This window comes from Homo sapiens, chromosome 18 (assembly GCF_000001405.40).
Source record: "Homo sapiens chromosome 18, GRCh38.p14 Primary Assembly".
NCBI classification, from domain to species: Eukaryota; Metazoa; Chordata; class Mammalia; order Primates; family Hominidae; genus Homo; species Homo sapiens.
Window position 1 is genome coordinate 22788127 of NC_000018.10, and position 25618 is coordinate 22813744.

The window sequence follows — 25618 nt, forward strand, 5'->3', positions numbered from 1 at the left end:
GAGCTATTTATTAAACACCCAAGTGATGATGTCAAATGGGCAGTTGGCTGTACGCAGTCCTCTCCTTGCAAGATTCCAACACGCACAAACTTCAGTCACCCAGGTTTAGTTAAATAACACCAGTCCTCCAAAAATATGATTGAAATTGCATTTGCCACATTATAGTAACTGAATAATCGCATAAAGTACAATTTCACTGTTTCTCCCATCCACAAATCACTCTGTATATAACAGATGTATATTATGATTAGTGACCAATCATGTCACTTCTTTCAGAGTCTGCCTGACTGATTGGTCACCGACTGGTCACTTGTGCATCTATTATTCAGTTCACACACAGCAAAATGTGTCACTGTGTTGTCTCCTGTCTCTCAGTAATAAGCCCACATGACATTCCACAAAAATGGATTATCAAAAGAAGAAACTGGTCCACAAAGATGAAAGGGCAGCAAGGAAAAACATGACAACACTAAAAGTGAAATTCAAATCAAATATAAATGGAGTTAAAGAAGAAATAGCTGCCCCAGGAATACTGACACTGCCACTGTTTAAGACACTAGAATGCAGCCACAAGCACTTCGTGCAGGTAACTTTATAGACATAAAGGAGGAAAGTGCTTGTAAGGAAAAAGACGAAGATGTTCCAGAGGAATACGTCAGAGCAAGTGATTCAGGCAAAATATTTCACATTAAAAGAACTCTTAGAGATAGGTCACAACATCTAAAGCACAAAGGCTAAAATGTTGGAAGCTGATCCAAATTTAGAAAGAAATATGATAATTTGCCAAGGTGTAGGATTGATGCTTACTCCATATTGAAAGTTATATGACAAGAAGGCAAGCACTGTTCTAAGTAGTCTGATAAGTGTTTTACAAATAAATGAAACACTTTCTCAATGTTTCTAATGTTTTAAATTAGTGTACTAAACTAAGTAAATATTAGTTTTAAAATATTACTTTTTATTTCTTCGTTACCTCATATGTTTATAATCAACAGTAAGAGCCTAATATTTTGAAAAAATTTTAAGTCCTGCAACAATCATAATTTTTATCACTGATTATTAAGAACACTTGGTGCTGTCTCAGTTTGCACAGTCATTTTTATGGCCCACACTACTGCATGAAGCAAGAACTGCCTGTATGCAAATTTGGAGTTTAGGAGAAGAAATTCAGCTGGAGACATAAATTTGCAAATTATCACTACAGAAACAGTATTCCTGCATGATATCACCTGACGTACAGATAAAGAAGAGATCTAAGGATAGAGCCCTGGGGAACTCCAATGTTCAGAGGTAAAGGAAAGGAGAAAGAATCAACAAAGATGACTGAAAAGCAGTGGCTGGTGAGCTAGGAGAATCAAAAGAGCAGTATCCCAAAGACCACAAAGCAGGGAGTTTCAAGAAAGTCATCAACTGCGGCTGGTGAGAGAAGCAAGACAAACCTGAGAATTGACCATTGTGTTTGGCAATATGAAGGTTACTAGTGACCTCGGCAAGAACTGTTTCAAGAAAATAATTGGAATGAGAGCCCAATTCAAGTGAGTTCAAAAGAGACTGGAAGGAGAGGAGTGGAACAATAAATAGACAGCCTTCTGAGGAGATTTTTCTATAGGGCATGGCAGAGTGGAATGTGAGTCCATTCTGTCTTCTTAAGATGGACGCTATCACAGCATGTTTATAGGCTGACTAACATAGTTAACTAAAGAATTTATACCACGAGATATTGATGCCAGGAGAAGGGATAATTATTAAAACGGTGTCCTTGAGAGTGGATAGTACCTCGTACTCAAGTGGAAGTGTTTACCCTAGACAGGAACAGGCTTAAGAAGGAGGCTCAGACATTTGACTTCTTCAGGACTCAGCTGCCTCAACTGTACAATGAGACAGCACTAAACCAGAGATTCTCAAAATGTAGTCCTCAGATCAGCATCATCGGCACCACTTGAGAATTCATTAAAAATGCAAATTCTCAGCCCCCTTCCAAAACCTACTGTATTAGAAACTCTGGAGGTGAGGCCCAGCAATAGGTGCTTTAACAAGCTCTCCATGGGATCCTGATGCACCCTCAGTTTTCAGAACCACTGGACTAGATTATCTTTAACGAATCTCTGGCTCTAACACCTGTGACTTTATGCTTCAATAATCTATTACTTCCCATTTCTATTATGTTTTTATAATACTGCTGTATTATTTTCAAGTAAGTTTATAAAATCCAAGCTGTTTTCTAATATTTTTCAGTGCAAAAAATCCAAATGTCTGTTTTCAACCTCCAGAAACAATAATGACATTTATACTTCTTAAAATCGTGTTCATAATCGTTTCTGAAACAACTTTTGCATGGTAAGGTATTCAACTTAGTTTTGAAGGCATCAGTAAAGCTCATGACATTTTCTTATCATTTTTAAATAATACATAAGTCTATCTTTTAATGAAAAAAATCTTTGGGAATTAAAAGCTATTGCTCTCAAGTTGTTTGGAATTGTTTTGTATTGCTTGAAGTGTGTTATTCCCCAGAAGCAGAGCAGACATGGAACGACAGGTGACATTAATCCAGTCCCATACTGTTGTTCTTTGTGGACTTGGATCTCTCTTCAGCCACACAATGGAGGAAATTCCATACAAACAGAGGAAGCCAGACTCTTTCTGGGAGAACTTAGTAGCTGACTTACTATATTAGACATTGATGCCTGCTACAGATAAAACCTGGGAAAAGACCTCCAGGTCCTATTCTCCATTGTTGCTGCCTGAGTCCAGTATGTACGTCTCAACTGTGTACACATTTCCCGGGGTTAGGGGGGGCCCACCAGTGCACAGCTGTCTGTGACAGGATTGCTGATGTTTACAGTAGCAAGTTCACCCTGCTTTATGCCAAAACATGGTGTTTCTTATTTTAAAGATGAGAACAATTCCTTCTCTCCCCTCACTCCATTGTTATTTGGTTTACTAGATTTACAGGAGAAGGAAGCAGTAAATTACTAAAGAAGAAAGTGTAAATCTCACCAGGGTGTGCCTGTTTGAATTTGGATGAAGTTTGGCATATCCATCAGATGTGATGATATGAGAAAACAGGTCCTCTCTGCTTCGTGGTAGGTTGGTTTGGGGAAGTGAAAATAAAAATTCATTAGACACTTTCCTGTGTTGATGTCCACACCTTTCTAGAAGCTCCAAGTTGATCAGATGTCCTAAGTGCCCAGCTTGATGGCCACAGAAAGCCAGCTGGTTAGTGAATAAAAAGGACTCTGCTAGCTGAGAACGCTCATTGCCAGCAAGCCTTTCTTGATGGTTTCCAGCCTTTTCTGTATTTAATTCGGTTAACATTGCATTCTCCCATCAGGGTCTGTTAATAATGATGTGTTGGGGGAAAGAAGCATGCAGTGGGAGGGATGGAAAGGAGACATGGAATTCCTATTTCTTCAATCACAAAAGTAAAAGAAAATAAAAGAAGATTTACCTTAAAGTACAAAGTATTTTCAAACCACATTTATAGAAAGCCAGTATTAAAAAGAGGTCAGCTGATGCATAAAGAACATACCTATAAACTAAATAAATCATCTGTCCTTCATTCTATTCAATAATTCTTTCCTGAACAGCTGGCTGTTTCTCCCTGGCTCAGCCACCTCCCTTTCCTGCCATGGCTCTCAACACTGTCTATACACTGGAGTCACCCAGAGAACTTCAAAAATACTGAGGCATAGGTCTCACCCTCAAGGATTCTGAGCATTTTTTAAAGTTCCCCCAGGTAGTTCTAAAATGCAGCCAAAGTTGAGATCACCGCTCTTCTTCCCCTCAGCTCTCCATCAACCCTTCAAGACCAGCACCTTGGGGTTCGCTTCTCCCCCAAAGAGGCTGAGATGACAAACGCAGACCTGGTCGTTCTTAGGTCACTGATTCCCAAGTTGCCTGATGTAAGAATCACTCGGGGCACTTATCAGACATATACATCCCAGGATCTTCCCTTGGAGATTCTGATTTAGTAGTTCTGGGACAAGAACCTGAAGTCTACATTTGCCCACATGAGGTTTATGCAAATAGCAAAGTTTGGTAAACACCATTTTAGGACTCTTCTGCTCAAAGTGAGGTCCATGGACCAGCAGTATGGGCATTACATGGGAGCTTGTTAGATATATAGAATCTCTAGCCCCACCCCAGGTCCACTGAAACAGGATCTGTTTTTTTGGGTTTTTTTGTTTTTTGAGATGGAGTCTCACCCTGTTGCCCAGGCTGGAGTACGGTGGCGCGATCTCTGCTCACTGTAACCTCCGCCTCCTGGGTTCAAGTAATTCTCCTGCCTCAGCCTCCCGAGTAGCTGGGATTACAGCCACCTGCCACCACACCCAGCTAATTTTTATATTTTTAGTGAAGACGGGGTTTCACCATGTTCGCCAGGCTGGTCTCAAACTCCTGACCTCAGGTGATCCACTTGCCTCAGCCTCCCAAAGTGCTGGGATTACAGGCATGAGCCACCCCGCCCGGCCAGAGTCTGCATTTTAACACGATTTCAGGAGATTCATATGACATTAAAATTTCTCCAATTGGTTTGCCTAACACTGACTTCCAAAGCTTTCTCTTTCCCTATCTAATTTAGACTCACGCCCGTGCTGCAATAATAATTACTCATAAGAAATATTCATATTAAAACGAATAAAATACATTAGTTGGATTATCATAAATGGGCCAATTACTTTAAAACATTTTCATAAGTGGATATTTCTGGCTTGTTAGATTCTCCTTTTGCTAATATGTAAGATGAGCCTTAGAGAGCCTCGGCATTAACTCAAGAGTTGAATGTTGCACTCAGTTCTATTATTTATTTTTAAACATAGTAAACATGAATTATAAGCTCAGGGTTGGAAAGAACTTTAAGGATGACTTAGTCCTGCCTTTAATCTGAATCACTACAAATGTCCAAATCAAGTGGCCATTCAGTTTAGATATGAAGATCATCCCCACCCCCAAACATGAAAGAGAACTCATTACCTCCCTATATAGTCCATTTCATCTTCGGTCAGCTATGACAAAAAAAAAAAAAAATCATGCATTGAAAAACTATCTCCCTGCATTGTTTTAATTAGAAAGCTTTCTTATTTATGGAAAAACTTGCAGAATTTTAGAGATGATAGGACAGTTTATAGCAGGATGCAATTTATCTGCATACATTTAATTTACTGTAAATATTAGTTAATGTCTAATGGGTGGTAGGCAACATGCTGACACTGTATACACACCAGCAAACAAAACACAGGCCCTGCTCTCAAAGTACTTGCCAGCCCAATAATATACAGAATAAATCAGGAGTTTTAAATACTTTGTTAAATGTGATAAAACAGGGGTAAATACAGGACCATAGGAGGTTATCAGAGGGATACTTAATCCAGTATAGAGGATAAAATTCTGGAGAAGCGACATCTTTGCCAAGGTTGAAACATAAGTGGCTCTAAGTCAGTGTTGCCAGTTTTTGCATAGCATGAAGTGGTTTTATCTTTTCTCCGATGCTATGTTAAATCTCTGTTAACTGATAACTTTCTACTTACTTTTGGTTTTCAAAATTTAGAACAGGCCAATGCAAGAATCCAATCTCATCCTCTGATTTAAAGACTCTCCTTCTTCAAGTCTCTGGCATCTTCAGTGTGTCAGGACTGGGAGGAGGAAGGAGGAAAGGGGCAGGTATCTATTTAACTGGACACAGTGAAAGTTTTTCACTGCCTCTGGTTAACACGGACTTTCCTTGATGTCTTCACTCTGCAAGTCCTTAAATGTAGGCTCTCTTACAGGAAACGTGTGAGTTCCTTTCCACTACTCCATTCCCGGACACTTCCCCTCTTCCACATTCACCCACTGGTCCATTCTACAGCTTCCAGGAACCAGCAACCCCTTGCCTGCCATTCCTCTTAACTAAAGTTTTGTCAGGATATCTCAATTTAGCTATGTCTCATGGAGTCCATTATTCCAGTTTTCAGGATACCAGATCAACATACCAAAAATCAATCTGATTTATAAACACTAGAAATGAACAATTAAAACCCAAAATTTTAAAAACAGTATCATTAAGAATATGGCCAAAAAAATTAAATACTCAGGTAACAATCTAACAGAAGTGTCCAGGTTGTGTTTGCTAAAAAGCTATAAATGGAACACATACTGTGTTTAAAAGTTAGAAGACTCAATACATGCAAAATGTCAATTATCTCCAAGCTGATCTACAGATTAAACACAATTCCAATCAAAACTCAGCAGAATTTTTTGTAGGTGGAGACAAACTGATTATATAATTTATATGGAGGGGCAAAGGAACTACAATAGCCAAAATAATTTTGAAAAAAAAAAAGAGCAAAGTTGGAGAATTCACACTGCTTGATTTTAAAATTACTATAAACATATGGTAATTAAGACAACATATTATCAGAGAAGGGATCCAGCCAAAAATCAATGGGGCAAAATAAAAATGCACGCAAATATAATCAATTAATTTGTTTTAACATGCAAAGGGATTCAAACTACTGTCCTTTGCATGTTTTAACATGCAAAGGACAGTAGTTTCAGCAAATGGTAGTGGAATAATGGACATCCATATGCAAAAAATTAACCCATGCCTAAACCTTACACTTTATATAAAAATTAAATCAAGGCCGGGTGTGGTGGCTCACACCTGTAATCCCAGCACTTTGGGAGGCTGAGGCAGGTGGATCACGAGGTCAGGAGATCGAGACCATCCTGACTAACACAGTGAAACGCCATCTCTACTAGAAATACAAAAAATTGGCCAGGCGTGGTGGCGGGTGCCTGTAGTACCAGCTACTCGGGAGGCTGAGGCAGGAGAATGGCGTGAACACGGGAGGCAGAGCTTGCAGTGAGCCCAGATCGTGCCACTGCACTCTAGCCTGGGCGACAGAGCAAGACTCTGTCTCAAAAAAAAAAATTTATAGATATAGATATAGATATGGATATAAAATCAAAATGGATCATAGAGCTAAATGTAAAACAGAAGCTATAAACTTTCAGAAAAAAGCATAGGAGGAAATTTCATAACAAGATTAGGCAAAGAGTTCTTAAACATGGCATTGAAAGGACAATTCATTTAAGAAAATTAATAAATTGAACTTCATTAAAATTAAGACTCTTTCCTCTGAAGCTCCTTAAAAAGCTAAACATAGAATTACCATATGACTCAGTGATTCCACTCTTAAGTATATAGCCAAAAGGACTGAAAGCAGGAACTCAAACAGATACTTGTACACCAATGATCATTGCAGCATTCTTCACAATAGTTAAAAGGTAGAAACAGCCCAAGTGGCCAACATTTGAATAAATAAAAGTGGTATATACATACAATGGAATGTTATTCAGCCTTAAAAAGGAATTAATTCTGACACATGTTATAACACGAATGAACCTTGAAAACACTGAAATAAGCCAGACTCAAATATTGTATGACTCCCCTTATATGAGGTACCTAGAAAAGGCAAATTCACAAAGATAGAAAGTAAAATAAAGGTTATTGGGGTTTGGGAAAAGGAGGGAATGAAGAGTTATTGTTTAATGGGTACAGAGTTTCTGTTTGGGGTGATGAAAGACTTTTGGAAATAGTGATGGTTGCACACCACTGTGAATATAATTAATGCCCCTAAATTGTATACTTAATAGTTAAAATAGCAAATTTTATTATAACTATAATATACAAGTATATTATATATATAAATTTATATAAATTTCATATATTTATATATGTAAATATAAATATACATATATAGTGGCATATATATATATGTCACAACTTTTTAAAAAAGAATAAGGTCTAAAAATATCTTTCCCCTGTGAAAAACACTGTTAAGAGAATTAAAGGACAAGCTACAGAGCAGGAGAAATATTTGCAAATTACATATCCATTAAAGGATTTGTATCCAGATACTTCACCTCAGAGGATGTAAGAATAGCAAATAAGCACATGAAAAAATGTTCAATATCATTAGCCCTTAGGGAAATGCAAATCAGGATACTACTACAGGATGAGATACTATTACACACCTATTAGAGTTACTAAACTAAAAAATCACGACAAGACCACATACTGGATGGAACAACTTAACTCTCATATGTTAGAGGTGATAATTCAAAATGTTACAGCCACTCTGGAAAACAGTTTGGCAGTTTCCTATCAAATTAAACATGTACTTATCCAATGACTCATCAGTGGCACTCCTAGTTATCTACCCTAGAGAAATGAAAACTAAAATGTTTATAGAAACTATTTATAATCGTCAAATCCGGAAACAACCCAAATATACTTCAATGAGTAAATAGTAATAAACATACTGTGGAGCATCCATCCAATGGAACACTACTCAGCAGCAAAAAGGAACCAACTATTAACATTGTCTTCGTCAAGACTGCTATATACCATAGACAGGATGGCTTAAATGACTGACATATTTCTCACAGTTCTAGAGGCTGAGAAGTCCAAGATCAAGGTGCCCTTAGATTCAATTCGGTTCTTGGCTAAGGCCTTCTTCCTGGCTTGCCAAGAGCAGCCTTCTCATGGTTTCCTGACAAGGAGGAGAAAATGAGTTCTATTTGGTGTCTCCTCCCCAGCTTTTTTTTTTTTTTTTTTTCTCTTGAGACAGAGTCTTTCTCTGTCTCCCAGGCTGGAGTGCAGTGGCGCGATCTCAGCTCACCGCAACCTCCGCCTCCCAGGTTCAAGCGATTCTCCTGCCTCAGCCTCCCGAGTAGCTGGGGCTACAGGCTCCCGTCACCACGCCCGGCTAATTTTTCGTATTTTTAGTAGAGGCGGGGTTTCACCGTGTTAGCCAGGATGGTCTCTGGTCTGATCTCCTGACCTCGTGATCCGCCCACCTCAGCTTCCCAAAGTGTTGGGATTACAGGCGTGAGCCACGGCACCCGGCCTCTTCCTCTTTTTATAAAGGCACTAATCCCGTTGAAGGACTCCACCCTCACAATCCAAACCTAATTATCTCCCAAAGGCCCCACCTCCTAATATTACATTGAGGGTTAGGATTTCAACATAGGAAGTTGGGGTTGGGCATAAACATTCAGTCCATAGCAGATACACACAACAACATGAATAATTATCAAAGATAGTATCCTAAGCCAGTCTCAAAAGGTTATATGCTATACGTTTCCATTTATATGATATTGTGGAAAAGGCAAAACTATAGGTACTGAGAACACATCCGTAGTTGTCAAGGGTTAAGGTGGAGGAGGATAGGACCATAAAAGGATAGCATGAGTTAGTATTTTGGGTGATAGAACTATTCTGTATCCTGATTGTGATGGTTATTGCATGAATTTATATATGTTAAAACCTCTAGAGCTAAAACTCTCCCCAAAAAAGTCAATTTTGTTGTATATTAATTTAAAAAATTAAAAGATGGTGTTAGATTCTAGTTAGGGAGCAAGAGTATCAGAAAAGGACATTTATGTAAACCTAAGTGTACTACAAGCCGAGATCATTACCAGTTATAACTAGGATATAGCGATTGTCTATTTAAGGGAAAGAATTTTTTTTTAAGTAATGGAACTACGGTTAACCTTACAAACTTCAAAATAGTAAAATACGTAAAGAGAAATTAACACTAGCCTGTGAATCTGGTAGTGGGAAGAAGATTCACTGGCGGAGGAATAAGGAGTCCTGCTCAAATATCAGACTCCAGAGCACATCAAATGGAGCCTGAGCCTGAAGATGAGTGTAACGACAGAAGAACGTGAGCAAGAGTCAGATCTGAAGAATGGAGAGGCATTTCTTCACTGTCTCCCCTACTCCTTTTTTTTTTTTTTTTTTTTTTTTTTTTTTTTTGAGACGGAGTCTCGCTCTGTCGCCCAGGCTGGAGTGCAGTAGCGCGATCTCGGCTCACTGCAAGCTCCGCCTCCCGGGTTCACGCCATTCTCCTGCCTCAGCCTCCGGAGTAGCTAGGACTACAGGAGCCCGCCCACCATGCCCGGCTAATTTTCGTATTTTTAGTAGAGACAGGGTTTCACCGTGTTAGCCAGGATGGTGTCGATCTCCTGACCTCCTGATCCGCCTGCCCAAAGTGCTGGGATTACAGGTGTGAGCCACCGCCCCTGGCCTTTTTTTTTTTTTTTTTTTTTTTTTGAGACAGAGTCTTGCTCAGTCGCGCAGGTTGAAGTGCAATGGCGAGATCTCGGCTCACTGCAACCTCCGCCCCCCAAGTTCAAACGGTTCCCCTTTTGAAGAGAGCAATTCAGAGGGCCATTAACTATATAAGCACAAGAAAAGTCCAAAGATCCTGGAGCTACCTAGGGAACAGAGCTCCAAAGAAAGCCTCCTGCGTGGAAGCTTCCCTGAGGAAGAGCTGATAACACCTTAAACCTCCTCTGGATTCAAGTTAAAGGTGAGAGGGAAATTTTCCAGTGGAATCCTGCCCAGCAGTTAATTACAAATGGCAAATTTTAAATCATCTCTGCTTTGGTGTTCTGTGTTAGAATGGAAATGGAGATGGACAAACTGTTTACTTCTTTCATTTACTTTGTAGCGCTGGGGTGAGGGGACTCTAGGCTGTTTTGTTTCAAGGAATTGTTTAAACTTTTTATTAAATTTTATTTTAATCAAGACGGAGTCTCGGTCTGTCACACAGGCTGGAGTGCAGTGGCGCTAGCTCGGCTCACTGCAACCTCCGCCTTCTGGGTTCAAGCGATTCTCCTGCCTCCCGGGTTCAAGTGATTCTCCTGCCTCAGCCTCCCGAGTAGCTGGGATTACAGGCGCTCAACACCATGCCCAGCTAATTTTTGTATTTTTAGTAGAGGTAGGGTTTCGCCATTTTGGCCAGGCTGGTCTGGAACTCCTGGCCTCAAATGAGCCTACTGCCTTGGGCTCCCAAAGTGGTGAGATTACAAGCGTGAACCACTGCATCCAGCTCAGATTTTCAAAGTGAGGGTAAATTCTAGGAAATAAAACAGAAGATTATAGAGGTGAATAATTTAAGAATTTTAATTAATGCATAGAAAATAATAGTGCATAGTGCTGGTGTCTTAGAATATGTTTACTATTCTTTGAATATTTATTTCTGAAATTCGTCCCTTCATTTGACAGAGCTGTATGTGGATTACTACAAATGTCCACCAGAGGGAGACTCAAGACTGAGTTTTCCCCTTGGGGTTCCTTCAGGTTTAATTAGTACTTGGGCCAAAATCTCTACCACATGTTGTTATAGGGAGGCAATCCAAGACGGCGAAGAGATTTATGGTTCTGGAATGAGATAAAAGGATAAATAAAGGGATGGTTCTATCCTTAAACATCCCTGCTTTTTCTCTGGGGCTTGGGTCACTTTCTCTTACTGATCCTCTGAGGTTTGCAAAACTGAGTTATTTGTCTGCTTTTGAAAGCAAAGCCCTTAGGATTCCTGGCACTATCCACGCTGAAAAAAACCGTAGGAATACTCCCACCCACTAGCAAAGAAATGTGTCATTCAACTCACAGGAGGCATTTACTAAATTCAGGAGATCCCTCCAGGGATTATAATGTTCTGCCAGAGCCAAAGGCAATCTAGTCCCAAGCCATACCATGGAATTTGGTAGAGGATGGTTTTAGTCTTCCCTGAAGTCTTCATTTGTTAGTTCATTCAACAAAGAGGAAGACTTTATTAAGAGGCAGGTATTGTTTCACTTTTTAAAAGATATCTCTAATTATAGGAAAAATCTAATAATGAAATGAATTTATCATTAACATGCAAAAGCTGTTCTAAAACAGATTTCTGAATAGAACATGTTGTTGGTATAGTTTACATTTGAGATTTTAGGAAACACTTTTATATCACCTATTATGTGCAAAGGGGAAAAGCTTTTTGACAAACAGATATTAACATAGAAGTACAACTATGAGGCACTGCTGTGATTTTCCTTTTCAGAGTTTTGTTTTTTAATAAATCAGACATAGATGGTTGCACAATTACTTTCTATTCATGATCACCTAATTTCCCACATTAAGCCCTGAAACCAAATCTTGAAAATGAAAATAAAATTAGACTGCAACCTGCCACCCACTAGGGAACAAACACCTCTACATGCCTTGGCTACAAATTTAACAATAAAAAAAGACTTTAAATCCCACTTTAATATCTAGGACTTGGGGGTCTGGGGTCAGGTAAAAGCAGGGTAATAGCAAAGGAGTGATTTTTCCCTTACTTCTAGGTTAAGCAGGCTGGTTGTACGGGGAAGCAGTGACTGGTAAAGAGTTAAAGCTCACAGAGTTAACTCACTGGTTAAGAGTTAAAGCTGGTTAAGAGTACCAGCTCACAGATTTGCAGTGAGAAAGAACCCAAGCTCTTAGCATCCTTTTCCTTGGGCTCTAAATCAGTTGTGGGAAACAGTGAAAGGTAACATACAGGACAGGATTTTTTTAGCGAGATCACCTTCAGCCATGGTTTCTGATGCAAAATGTTCTCCCGCCAGCACCCAAGACCATAGATGCTGTGGCGGTGGTGGCAGCAAACACTGGGCATGCTTGGACGGGCAGCCACAGGGTTGCCACGGTCTCGGCAGGGTCTAGTAGACAGAGGTCTTGTGATATCTGCTGGGAGTCATGGGAACAAGTGGGAATTTATCTTTGGTTCCAGAGAACATAAAATGACCCATTTCTTCCAGTTGCGCAATAAAAGAGAAACTTAAGAAGGAAAAATGAACCAGTATAAAATGTAAACTTAGCTGTGTCTGTTTTGGTCCTAGAGGAGCAAAGGTGATTGGATTGACTGCAGAGACTATGACACCTCGCCATTTCCTCTTGTCCATAAACAGACACAGAATTGCAAGAACTTTTACGGCCAAAGGTTAATCATAGAAAGGGATTGGTTTCCATCTCCAAGAAACAAATCCGTACCAGAAATCTGATGACATGTTCCTGGATGGACCATAAAAACCATTTTCCTAAATAACATCAGCTGACTCTCTGGATTCTATCTTTGGGACTATCCTCAAATTCATTAGGGAAATCATTATATTGAATCAGTTTAATTTTACCAGGGTATCACACCATTTGCAAAGCTATGTCATACAATCACATAGTCAGTATGGATGAAAATACTATTAATTAGAGATAAGCATTTGTCCAAGAACTTGCTGTAATAGGATCTTGTGGGGATTTATCAAATCTTGTGAGGATTTATCGTAGTCCTTTGCCAATCAGAAACACAAAATAGATTTAGATGTAAAAATGGAGTTCTCCATCTTACAGGAATAGGTCCTTGTGACTTTTTCTTTCTAAGAAAAAAAATGAGCTCATTTCATTATTCTCACCCTCCTCTCCTGTTTAAAGAAATCTGATCTGGTAGGAAATAACAAGCAATGAGCCTTAAATTTTAGTATTATCTTTTTAAGAGTTTCTTAAAATTGCCTTTTGAAAGTAGTTCAGGCTTAGGCCCAAAAATAATTATACTTAGGTCATAAAAACAGAATTTCTAATATGCAAAATTCTTTTAGAAAATCTTTTAAAACATAATAACCATGTAAACCTTACTCTCCATTTCTTTATGAAGAATGGAAATTAAACATGATAAAATAATCTAATTTTGGCCAGGCACAATGGTGTTTGCCTGTAATCCCAGTGCTTTGGGAGGCTAATGTGGGAGGATCACTTGAGCCCAGGAGTTCAAGACAGCCTGGGCAACACAGCAAGACCCTGTCTCTACAAAATATTTAAAAATTAGCCTGGCATGCTGGTGCATGCCTGTAATCCCAGCTACTCAGGAGGCTGAGGCAGGAGGACTGCTTGAGCCTAGGAGTTCAAGGTTACAGTGAGCTATGATAGTGCCACTGCACTCATGCCTGGGCAACAGTATGGCCCTATCTCTTAAAAAAAAAAAATCGAATTTCTTCACAATCAACTTTTGAATGACTTCTTAAATGACAAAATAGGCTGGGTGCAACGGCTCATGCCTTAATCCCAACACTTTGGGAAGCTGAGGCAGGAGAATTGCTTGAGGATAGGAGTTTGAGAGCAGCCTGGGCAACAGAGGAAGACCCCATCTCTACAAAAAATACAGAAATTAGCCAGGTTTGGTGGTGCATGCCTGTAGTCCCAGCTACTTGGGAGGCTGAGGTGGGAGGATCACTTGAGCCCAGGAGGTCAAGGCTACAGTGAGTCATGATCTTGCACTCCAGCCTGGGTGACAGAACGAGACCTTGTATCAAAAAAAATTAAAATAAAATAAGTGACAAAATATATTTATCTTATAGCTTAATATATTTGTGTTTCCTAATGGAAAAGTTGTAAGATAAAGTCCCACAGGAATGAATTCTAGAACGGCTCTATAATTATAATTTATGTAAACTACACACTTGTATATTATAGCTTTACAAATCATGTTACACTCTAGTAAAACTAATCTAATAAAGTAATTTCCTCAGTGTGCCCCCAGACAAAGCTCAGAGAAACATGTGGCTTAGCCAAAGGTAGGTATGTGGTAGATCCCAGCCCAGAATGCAAGTGTCCTAATCCAGTGCTCTTTTTTGGCCATCATGATGTTCCTACTCTCTGCTAGATTAGCTCTTGCCATCTCACCATGTTCCTGAAGCCCTCCTCTAAGTGTTGAGCCTCTGGACCTCCCTAGTCTGGGTTCTCTGACATAACCCCTCACATCCCACCTGGCCTCCCTTAGCCCATCCTTCCTTGATCATTCTTCCTTGCCCTCTGCTAATAAGGCCACGCTAACATATATCTGACTTGTTTTCTCCATCAAAAATCTACATCCCCTTCCCTTAACCGTAGAACTAGATATTCTCTGCCTACCAAGGTTACAGTTATCTTGCCTAATAAATTCATCTGTCTATGCCACGCTTGTCCAACCCATGGCCAGTGAACCACATGAGGCCCAGGATGGCTTTGAATGTGGCCCAACACAAATTTGTGAACTTTCTCAACACACTAAGAGTTTTTTTGCAATTTTTTTTTTTTTTTTTTTTTTTTAGCTATCACTATCATTAGTGTATTTTATGTGTGGCCCAAGACAATTCTTCTTCTTCCCATGTGGACCAGGGAAGCCAAAAGATTAGACACCCCTGGTCCCCACACTAAGGAAAGAGGGCTAGAGAAGCTCTTTCCCCTCCTAGGTGACATATGCATGGCTTCTGGAGGAAGAAAAGATATTACAACAGTAGCGCTCTTCAGACCAGCATTGAAGTACCCCATGGAGGCCCTTTATCAGATTATTGATACATTGAAAACTACCAGATCTCTGTCTTCAGTCTTGATACCTTACTGAAGTTCCAGATCTCTATATCCAATTGCCTGTTGGAATTAGTGTGACGGTCAGTTTTAGTTACCTATGGTTAGTGGTCATACTGGCCCTGAGCATAGACTTAAAGGGCCTCCATGGGGTACAACTCAGATGTCTTTTTTCCAGGAATAATCACATCAATCTCAACAACCCACTGCCTACCCAGAATGACCTCTATCTTTGAGAATAAGTATTTTAGCACAAGAAGATTCTGGCCTTTGATTGGAACAAGATCAATGCAACAACAGGCTTAGCAGCTTACAAACAAAATGGGAAGTAATAATAACTTGTTTATAGAGAACACCTGCCACAGGCCAGACACTGGAGACACTATTTATTTTTATTTATTTATTTATTTTGAAACAGAGTCTCGCTCTGTCACCTAGGCTGGAGTGCAGTGGCACCATCTCCGCTCACTGCAACCTCTGCCTCCTCTGGGGTTCAAGTGATTCTCCTGCCTCAGCCTCCCAAGTAGCTGGGATTACAGGGGCACACCACCACACCTGGCTAATTTTTGTATTTTAGTAGAGACAGGGTTTCACCATGTTGGTCAGGCTGGTCTCAAACTCGTGACCTCAGGTGATCTGCTCACCTTGGCCTCCCAAAGTGCTAGGATTACAGGCGTGAGCTACCACAATATTATTAATTAATTTGTTAATTAATTTAACATATATTCAAGGGTAACCTACTACCTGCTAGGCACATTTTAAAGTCTAGAGATAAGAGAGAGTATGCTATTTGGGGGGAATTCTAACTTTATTATTCAATACAATCAGAACATAGAGTTCCAGAGAAGAGTGGAAAAAGATAAGGCTCAAGAGGTAAAGCCAAGAAGGCAAAAAATCAAGAAGACCTAGTGTCACACGAAGGATTTTTGACATTTATGTTTTATAAATAAAGAAAGGAAAGGAGAGAGGGAAGGAGAAAAATAAACTTTTTATCTGAGGAATGTGAACCCCCTCTAATTATCAGGCCTAGAGGCATTGAAATGTGGCAGCATGTGAAACAGTCACCCACTCCCCACTTGAGCTAAATAATTGCCTCTTAAAGCCCCTTGCTATGTGGGTTCTAGACACTGACACTAAGTCACCATAAAATGCCATACCTGGACACCATAACTCACACCCTATAGTTCAACAATGTATAGCCAATCACTAACCAATGTTATTTCTGTAAACCAATGAGAATTCCTGCCGAACAACTTTGTATCAGCCCACTCCTTGTCTCTTTTTGCCTAAAAAACCTGCTTGTAACAAAGACCAAGTGGAGCACTCCCCAAGGCAACTTGGAAGTGTGTCACAGGCAGCTGTCCTCAATCTTAGCCTCACAGGCAGCTGTCTTCAACCTTGGCCCAAACAAACTCTCTATATGAATTGTTCCTCAGTTTCTTTCTTTGCATTGATAGATGGAAAGAAGGAAGTCACTGAACAGTTTTAATTAGGAAAAAAATTTGCACTGTAGGAAAATTCCTCTAATAGCAGTGCAGAATTGCAGCAGTAATCTAGGAGAGAAAAAGGCCAGAACAAAGGTGGTGACAGTAGGAAAAGAGGGAATTAGAAATGTCCAAAAGACAGCAAAGGTAGAATCAATGGCTCTAGTAACTATCTGAAGAGACTGAGCTGAGAATGGGGAGGGAGAAGGTGAAAGTGACTGCCATGTTTTTGGTTTGGGCGGCCAGGTAAAGGAGGTGCCATTAACTGAGATAAGAAGGAGAAGGAGCATGTGTAAGGAAGAAGACAATGGTTTGATTTTTGTCCTTTGAATTTAAGATGCTGGTGAAATATCTTAACTATATTAGAGTTTTCCAGAGAAACAGAACCTATAGGATATATAGACATATATAAGAGGAGATTTATTTTGGGAATTGGTTCATGCAATTATGAAGGCTGAAAAGTCCCGTGATATGCCATCTGCAAGTGAGAGAACCAGGAAAGCTGGTTGTGTAATTCAGTATGAGTCTGAAGACCTAAAAACCTGGAAGCGTTGAGGGGAGAACTACTGGCCTAAGTCCCAAAGGCCTGATAACCAGGAATTCTAATGTCCGAGGGCAGGAGAAGATAGATGTCCCTGCTCAAAAGAAAGTGAATTTGCCCTTCTTCCACCTTCTTGATCTATCCTCAGTGGATTGGATGATGCCCACCCACACTGGTGAGGGTGGATCTTTATTCAGTCTACTGATTCAGATATTAATCTCTTCTGGAAACACACACAGAGATACACCCAGAAATAGTGTTTTCACAACTATCTGGGTATCCCATCAAGTTGACACATAAAACTAACCATTATACTAACTGTCCAACAGGCAATTGGATATAGAGATCTAGAACGTCAGTAAGGTATCAAGACTGAATACAGAGATCTGGTAGTTTTCAGTGTATCAACAGTCTTCACCAAAAACATCTAGAATTATTCCTATTTTACAGATTAAAAGCCCATACTGCATATCTATTGATGCCATATGCCCAGAACCCTTTCCTTCTTGATTTAGTAACAGCCTCCATCTTTAAAAAATGAAAACCATTAAAAAACCACTTCTCCCAGACCGTAGGTAAGTGGTTTGGGTGGAGCCAGTGTCATGTCCTATGCCTCCCAAGGCCAGTGACCCAAGCTGACCATTATAGTACCTTACACTTCTGGCCACAGTCTCAAGGTGACCTGATCAAAAGAATGAGAATCTTGAGTAGATTTTTGTAAACTATAACTGGTGTGAAGGTCTCCTTCCTCTCATAGCAAAACTGTTCACATGTCTGCACCAAACTACTAATATACAACACAGACAGGCAGAAGTGCAGTGGGAGGGAATCAAACTGAGGTCCATGAGAAGCAGAGAGGAAGCCCAGTTGCAGTAAAACCTTGGTTCCCATGTGTTCTACTATGCCCCTGCCCTTCTAGTTACATCAACCGTGAATCCATCCCAGGGGCCAAGCTAGTTCAACTTGAGTCTTTGTCCCAAGTAATAAAAGATGCAGAAATTGAGACTTGAATAGTTTAAATGACTTGACCAAGATAATACTCAGACAAGTAATAGGCAGACCTTCAAATCAAACCCAGGGCATTCTGGCCACTGCATGGTATTGCCAAGTACAGGGTTCTAAAGTGATGCCCACTTTCTGGCTAGAGGAGAATCTCCAGACTATGTGGTTGAGTGAACAACTACAACAAAAAAAATAGTCAAGACCCGGGTTCAAATTTGGACAAGCTCAATTACTGCAACATTAAGCAAATCAATTACTCTTTTTGAGGCCCACTTATAAAATGAAATAATATCGCTCCTGCTCACTCTATAGGTGTTTGGTTAATTAAGGATGTTAATACATGTGAGAGCATTTTGAAAACAGTAAAGAACCTGCCCCAAGGTAAGTAATGCTAATCTCTATCAGCAATAGAAATGTGTATTGAATCTATTCTCTCTCTTGTTGCTAAAACCTACAATCTTAGGGGTGGGAAACAGAAATCAAGAATGTTATCTCATCCATGTTAATTTCCATCTGAATAAACAGTCACTTCTGTGTTATTGTTGTTACTGAACATTTATTGAAAGCCAGACAGGGTCTGGGTGCCCTGGAAAATACAAAATCTAGAGAAGTGTCTGGGAAAGGCAGGAAACCCAGAGCAATGCTTGGCATGGTACTTGGGAACAAGAAACCAAATGTGTGGTTCCCAAGTCCCCTTCAGAATTAACATAGCACTGTGTCCACATTACTGAGCCTGTTCTGCACTGCCTATTTCCACTCCCCACTCTCATGGGGCATTTTTGGAGACTGGTAAGATAATTCAGTATGCAGGTCTTGGGGGACAGAGTATGATGTTATGTAATTAGGCTTGACTCTGTTTATTGCAGACATCACTTCATTTTGAAAACAGAAATCTGTCTTTTCCTTTGGAGCATTTTTTATAACATCATAAGGATGTCAGTGTTTCTCTTTGCTGCACAGGTATACTGTGCTTAGACGATAGGAAATTTTTGGCCTGAAAATGTACATGTAAATCATATTTCATCAAAATCAAATTACATCCAAAATACAATTGAGGCGTTCACTATTTCTGGGGTCCCTGTGGAAAATCATACAAGAGGCAATACTGCATATAGGAAAGAATGGAGGGTGGGAGCCAGAAAATCAAACTGAAGCCCCAGTTCAATCTCTTCCTACCTGTGTGACTTTTGGTAAGTCTTTTAGCCTCTGCCCAACAGTTTTCACATCTGTAAAATGAAGATGCCATGAGGTTGGTTTTTTTTTTTAACCTACTTTATGGATTTTGTGAGGACCCAGTGAAATGTTTTAGAGAAGGATAAAGAAAGGCTAAATCCATATCCTCTAGGATTTCAAACCCTCTTCATAAAAATCCACTTACAAGAATTGGAAACAACACAGGGGGGAAAGCAAAGGGTATGAAAATGAAGCCATTTTAAGCAACAAGCGTATTGCCACACATAGCCAGACTCCATACATTATATTTCTTGAATGAATAAAAAGAAGGTATAGCTGATTCTGCCACCATTTACTATTCTGTGCCTTGGGAAATCTCAAACAGCCTTACACTTGGGTGGCACTCACTTATTCTTACAATAAAGATCACCAGCAACCTAATAAAAAATAACTCATTCTTAGAGTGCCACAGTTGCACAAATCACTTGCATGCCTTAAGTGATTCATTTGAGAAGTCTTTTCTGTCACAAGATATGTTTCTCAGAATGTGATTCTCAAGACACCAGAGTCAGAATTACCTAGATTCATGTAGCAAATGTAGAATTCTAGATCAAGCCCACATTTGACAAATTAGAATCTCTGGGGATGTGTCTGGATAATTTGCATTTTCACACACACACACACACACACACACACACACACACACAGATACACACTAACCCACTCCTACACTGTAATTCCAAAGTTTGACAGCAATTTTCAGGTTTCCAAGAATAAGAAAAACTATGACATCTTTGGAAGAACCTGGCTCAGTAAAAGTTCCTTTAATCTCCTCGGCCTTTTTTTTTTTTTTTTTGTCTTTGCTAAATGTAATAAACACTTCTAGTAAGTCCTGGAAATTAATCATGCCATAAAAAGTTAATTAAAACTAACTTAAACCTATAAAAAGAATCAGTCCCTGAAATTTACACATGTACACTGTACATTTATTATGTAATTTACACATGTACACTGTGAAGCATAATATAATTTTTTTTGTGAATAGCTTTTTCATCTAACAATATATCTTGGATAACTTTCCATGTTGCTACTTATGGATCTATATTTTTCTTTCTTTTTTTATTTTTTTATTATACTTTAAGTTCTAAGGTACATGTGCACAACGTGCAGGTTTCTTACATATGTATACATGTGCCATGTTGGTGTGCTACACCCATTAACTCGTCATTTACATTAGGTATATCTCCTAATGCTATCCCTCCCCCAGGCCCCCACCTCACAACAGGCCCCGGTGTGTAATGTTCCCCTTCCTGTGTCCAAGTGTTCTCATTGTTCAATTCCCACCTATGAGTGAGAACATGCAGTGTTTGGTTTTTTGTCCTTGCGATAGTTTGCTGAGAATGATGGTTTCCAGCTTCATCCATGTCCCTACAAAGGACATGAACTCATCATTTTTTATGGCTGCATAGTATTCCATGGTATATATGTGCCACATTTTCTTAATCCAGTCTATCATTGATGGACATTTAGGTTCATCTACTGTAGTTAGGTTTGCTACTGTTAGTAGTGCTGCAATAAACATACGTGTGCATGTGTCTTTATAGCAGCATGATTTATATTCCTTTGGGTATATACCCAGTAATGGGATGGCTGGGTCAAACGGTATTTCTAGTTCTAGATCCCTGAGGAATCGCCACACTGTCTTCCACAATCGTTGAACTAGTTTACACTCCCACCAACAGTGTAAAAGTGTTCCTATTTCTCCACATCCTCTCCAGCACCTGTTGTTTCCTGACTTTTTAATGATTGCCATTCTAACTGGTGTGAGATGGTATTTCACTGTGGTTTTGATTTGCATTTCTCTGATGGCCAGTGATGATGAGCATTTTTTCATGTGTCTGTTGGCTGCATAAATGTCTTCTTTTGAGAAGTGTCTGTTCATAGCCTTCACCCACTTTTTGATGGGGTTGTTTGTTTTTTTCTTGTAAATTTGTTTGAGTTCTTTGTAGATTCTGGATATTAGCCCTTTGTCAGATGAGTAGATTGCAAAAATTTTCTCCCATTCTGTAGGTTGTCTGTTCACTCTGATGGTAGTTTCTTTTGCTGTGCAGAAGCTCTTGAGTTTAATTAGATCCCATTTGTCAATTTTGGCTTTTGTTTCCATTGTTTTTGGTGTTTTAGACATGAAGTCCTTGCCCATGCCTATGTCCTGAATGGTATTGCCTAGGTTTTCTTCTAGGGTTTTTATGGTTTTAGGTCTAACATTTAAGTCTTTAATCAATCTTGAATTAATTTTTGTATAAGGTGTAAGGAAGGGATCCAGTTTCAGCTTTCTACATATGGCTAGCCAGTTTTCCCAACACGATTTATTAAATAGGGAATCCTTTCCCTATTTCTTGTTTTTGTCAGGTTTGTCAAAGATCAGATAGTTGTAGATGTGTGGTATTATTTCTGAGGGCTCTGTTCTGTTCCATTGGTCTATATCTCTGTTTTGGTACCAGTACCATGCTGTTTTGGTTACTGTAGCCTTGTAGTATAGTTTGAAGTCAGGTGGCGTGATGCCTCCAGCTTTGTTCTTTTGGCTTAAGATTGACTTGGCAATGTGGGCTCCTTTTTGGTTCCATATGAACTTTAAAGTAGTTTTTTCCAATTCTGTGAAGAAAGTCATTGGTAGCTTGATGGGGATGGCATTGAATCTATAAATTACCTTGGGCAGTATGGCCATTTTCACGATATTGATTCTTCCTATCCATGAGCATGGAATGTTCTTCCATTTGTTTGTATCCTCTTTTATTTTGTTGAGCAGTGGTTTGTAGTTCTCCTTGAAGAGGTCCTTCACATCCCTTGTAAGTTGGATTCCTAGGTATTTTATTCTCTTTGAAGCAATTGTGAATGGGACTTCACTCATGATTTGGCTCTCTGTTTATCTATTATTGGTGTGTAAGAATGCTTGTGATTTTTGCACATTGATTTTGTATCCTGAGACTTTGCTGAAGTTATCAGCTTAAGGAGATTTTGGGCTGAGACAATGGGGTTTTCTAAATATACAATCATGTCATCTGCAAACAGAGACAATCTGACTTCCTCTTTTCCTAATTGAATACCCTTTATTTCTTTCTCCTGCGCCTGATTGCCCTGGCCAGAACTTCCAACACTATGTTGAATAGGAGTGGTGAGAGAGGGCATCCCTGTCTTGTGCCAGTTTTCAAAGGGAATGCTTCCAGTTTTTGCCCATTCAGTATGATATTGGCAGTAGGTTTGTCATAAATAGCTCTTATTTTGAGATATGTCCCATCAATACCTAATTTTTTGAGAGTTTTTAGCATGAAGGGCTGTTGAATTTTGTCAAAGGCCTCTTCTGCATCTATTGAGATAATCAAGTGGTTTTTGTTGTTGGTTCTGTTTATATGCTGGATTACATTTATTGATTTGCGTATGTTAAACCAGCCTTGCATCCCAGGGTTGAAGCCCACTTGATCATGGTGGATAAGCTTTTTGATGTGCTGCTGGGTTCAGTTTGCCAGTATTTTATTGAGGATTTTTGCATCGATGTTCATCAGGGATATTGGTCTAAAATTCTCTTTTTTTGTTGTGTCTCTGCCAGGCTTTGGTATCAGGATGATGCTGGCCTCATAAAATGAGTTAGGGAGGATTCCCTCTTTTTCTATTGATTGGAATAGTTTCAGAAGGAATGGTACCAGCTCCTCCTTGTACCTCTGGTAGAATTCATCTATGAATCTGTCTGGTCCTGGACTTTTTTGGTTGGTAAGCTATTAATTATTGCCTCAATTTCAGAGCCTGTTATTGGTCTATTCAGAGATTCAACTTCTTCCTGATTTAGTCTTGGGAGGGTGTATGTGTCGAGGAATTTATCGATTTCTTCTAGATTTTCTAGTTTATTTGCGTAGAGGTGTTTATAGTATTCTTTGATGGTAGTTTGTATTTCTGTGGGATCGGTGGTGATATCCCCTTTATCATTTTTTATTGTGTCTATTTGATTCTTCTGTCTTTTCTTATTAGTCTTGCTAGCAGTCTATCAATTTTGTTGATCTTTTCAAAAAACCAGCTCCTGGATTCATTGATTTTTTGAAGGGCTTTTTGTGTCTCTATCTCCTTCAGTTCTGCTCTGATCTTAGTTATTTCTTGCCTTCTGCTAGCTTTTGAATGTGTTTGCTCTTGCTTCTCTAGTTCTTTTAATTGTGATGTTAGGGTGTCAATTTTAGATCTTTTCTGCTTTCTCTTGTGGGCATTTAGTGCTATAAATTTCCCTCTACACACTGCTTTAAATGTGTCCCAGAGATTCTGGTATGTTGTGTCTTTGTTCTCATTGGTTTCAAAGAACATCTTTATTTCTGCCTTCATTTTGTTATGTACCCAGTAGTCATTCAGGAGCAGGTTGTTCAGTTTCCATGTAGTTGAGTGGTTTTGAGTGAGTTTCTTAATCCTGAGTTCTAGTTTGATTGCACTGTGGTCTGAGATACAGTTTGTTATAATTTCTGCTCTTTTACTTTTGCTGAGGAGTGCTTTACTTCCAACTATGTGGTCAATTTTGGAATAGGTGCGGTGTGGTGCTGAGAAGAATGTATATTCTGTTGATTTGGGGTGGAGAATTGTGTAGATGTCTATTAGATCTTCTTGGTGCAGAGCTGAATTCAATTCCTGGATATCCTTGTTAACTTTTTGTCTCATTGATCTGTCTAATGTTGACAGTGGGGTGTTAAAGTCTCCCATTATTATTGCATGGGAGTCTATGTCTATTTGTAAGTCTCTAAGAACTTGCTTTATGAATCTGGGTGTTCCTGTATTGGATGCATATATATTTAGGATAGTTAGCGCTTCTTGTTGAATTGATATCTTTACCATTATGTAATGGTCTTCTTTGTCTCTTTTGATCTTTGTTGGTTTAAAGTCTGTTTTATCAGAGACTAGGATAGCAACCCCTGCCTTTTTGTTTGCTTGGTATATATTCCTGCATCCCTTTATTTTGAGCCTATGTGTGTCTCTGCACGTGAGATGGGTTTCCTGAATACAGCACACTGATGGTTCTTGACTCTTTATCCAATTTGCCAGTCTATGTCTTTTAATTGGAGGATTTAGCCCATTTACATTTAAGGTTAATATTGTTATGTGTGAATTTGATCCTGTCATTATGATGTTAGCTGGTTATTTTGCTTGTTAGTTGATGCATAATGTAAATGTTATGTATTATGTGCCTAATCATCTGCTGGTTCAGTTTTTTAATATTTGGATTATTTAGTATCTGGTTTTGTTTAACGGAACAGGACTGTGGTCAGAACAATGGCATGGTCAACCGGGATGCCCTCCTTCTGCAAGATAGGGAAGGGCGGGTGCTACATGACTGTGGGAACCAGGTGTCTGGCAATTGGGATGGTAACTGTCAAGAAATGCAAGTGTCTGAGGCTTTACCCTACTGGCAAGCTAACTTGTTTTATGGATGCTGTTAGAAGATGCAAGATTCCTGGATCAGGGAAAAGGATTTTATTACCTAAGCCACAGGAAGCAGCATGAACTTCATGCTTGCATCAGTTTCCCTTGCCCATCAGGTCACACAGGGGCAAAGTAGAGATTCCCAGGTTGGTGCTGTATACACTATGGGTTTCTATCACAGTTGAGTAATCTCAAGCTTAGGAAACCCAAATCTTATAATGGGCTGCAAGCAAACCTGCTTAACCTTTGCTCCAGAGAGAGACATACTGAACAAAAGCAAAGCTCTACTCTGGAGGAAGACACTATCTCTTTTTTCCAAGACTTTTCACTATAAAACATCCTTGGAAAGGTTGTCTGGAACAAAGGGCTGTCAGTGCCTCTGTTCACTAGCTGTGCAAGAGATGTATGTAGAAGTAGAATTACCTTCAACAGTGACTTAGCAGGTTCTGAAAAAAAAACCTGGAGTCACGAAATATCAGCCCATTTTATCATTCATCTGCACCAAAAGAAAATGTTGGTGAAATTAAAATTTAAAAACCCAACTCTCTACTCCCTCCCTTTCAAAAAAATTTAAGCAAAGCATGCAGCCTGGTACACAGTAGGCATCCAACAAGTGCTGATACCCATTCTCAGGCTCCCCACACATATCCTCTCACATAATTTTGGTGCTCATTTATTCTTTTCTTTGACATATGCTCTTATTTTCATTGTTTTCATCTTTATAAAAAATATTGATGTTGCAATTATGATTCGCAAAGGAATATGTCCTAGATGACCATATTTATA

The 25618-nt window shown here is 39.4% G+C and overlaps 2 long non-coding RNA genes across 2 annotated transcripts in view; one reads left to right on the forward strand and one right to left on the reverse strand.

The window, feature by feature from the left end:
* RBBP8-AS1 (RBBP8 antisense RNA 1) overlaps positions 1 to 25618 on the reverse strand; it is a 210274-nt gene that overhangs the window by 64636 nt on the left and 120020 nt on the right. The gene's annotated exons all lie outside the window — the stretch shown is intronic.
* The window catches only part of LOC124904263 (uncharacterized), a 37941-nt gene continuing 22426 nt past the window's right edge, over positions 10104 to 25618 (forward strand). Inside the window, exon 1 of the long non-coding RNA XR_007066308.1 lies at positions 10104 to 10361. This is a non-coding gene — a long non-coding RNA (uncharacterized LOC124904263). The remainder of the gene's footprint in view (positions 10362 to 25618) is intronic.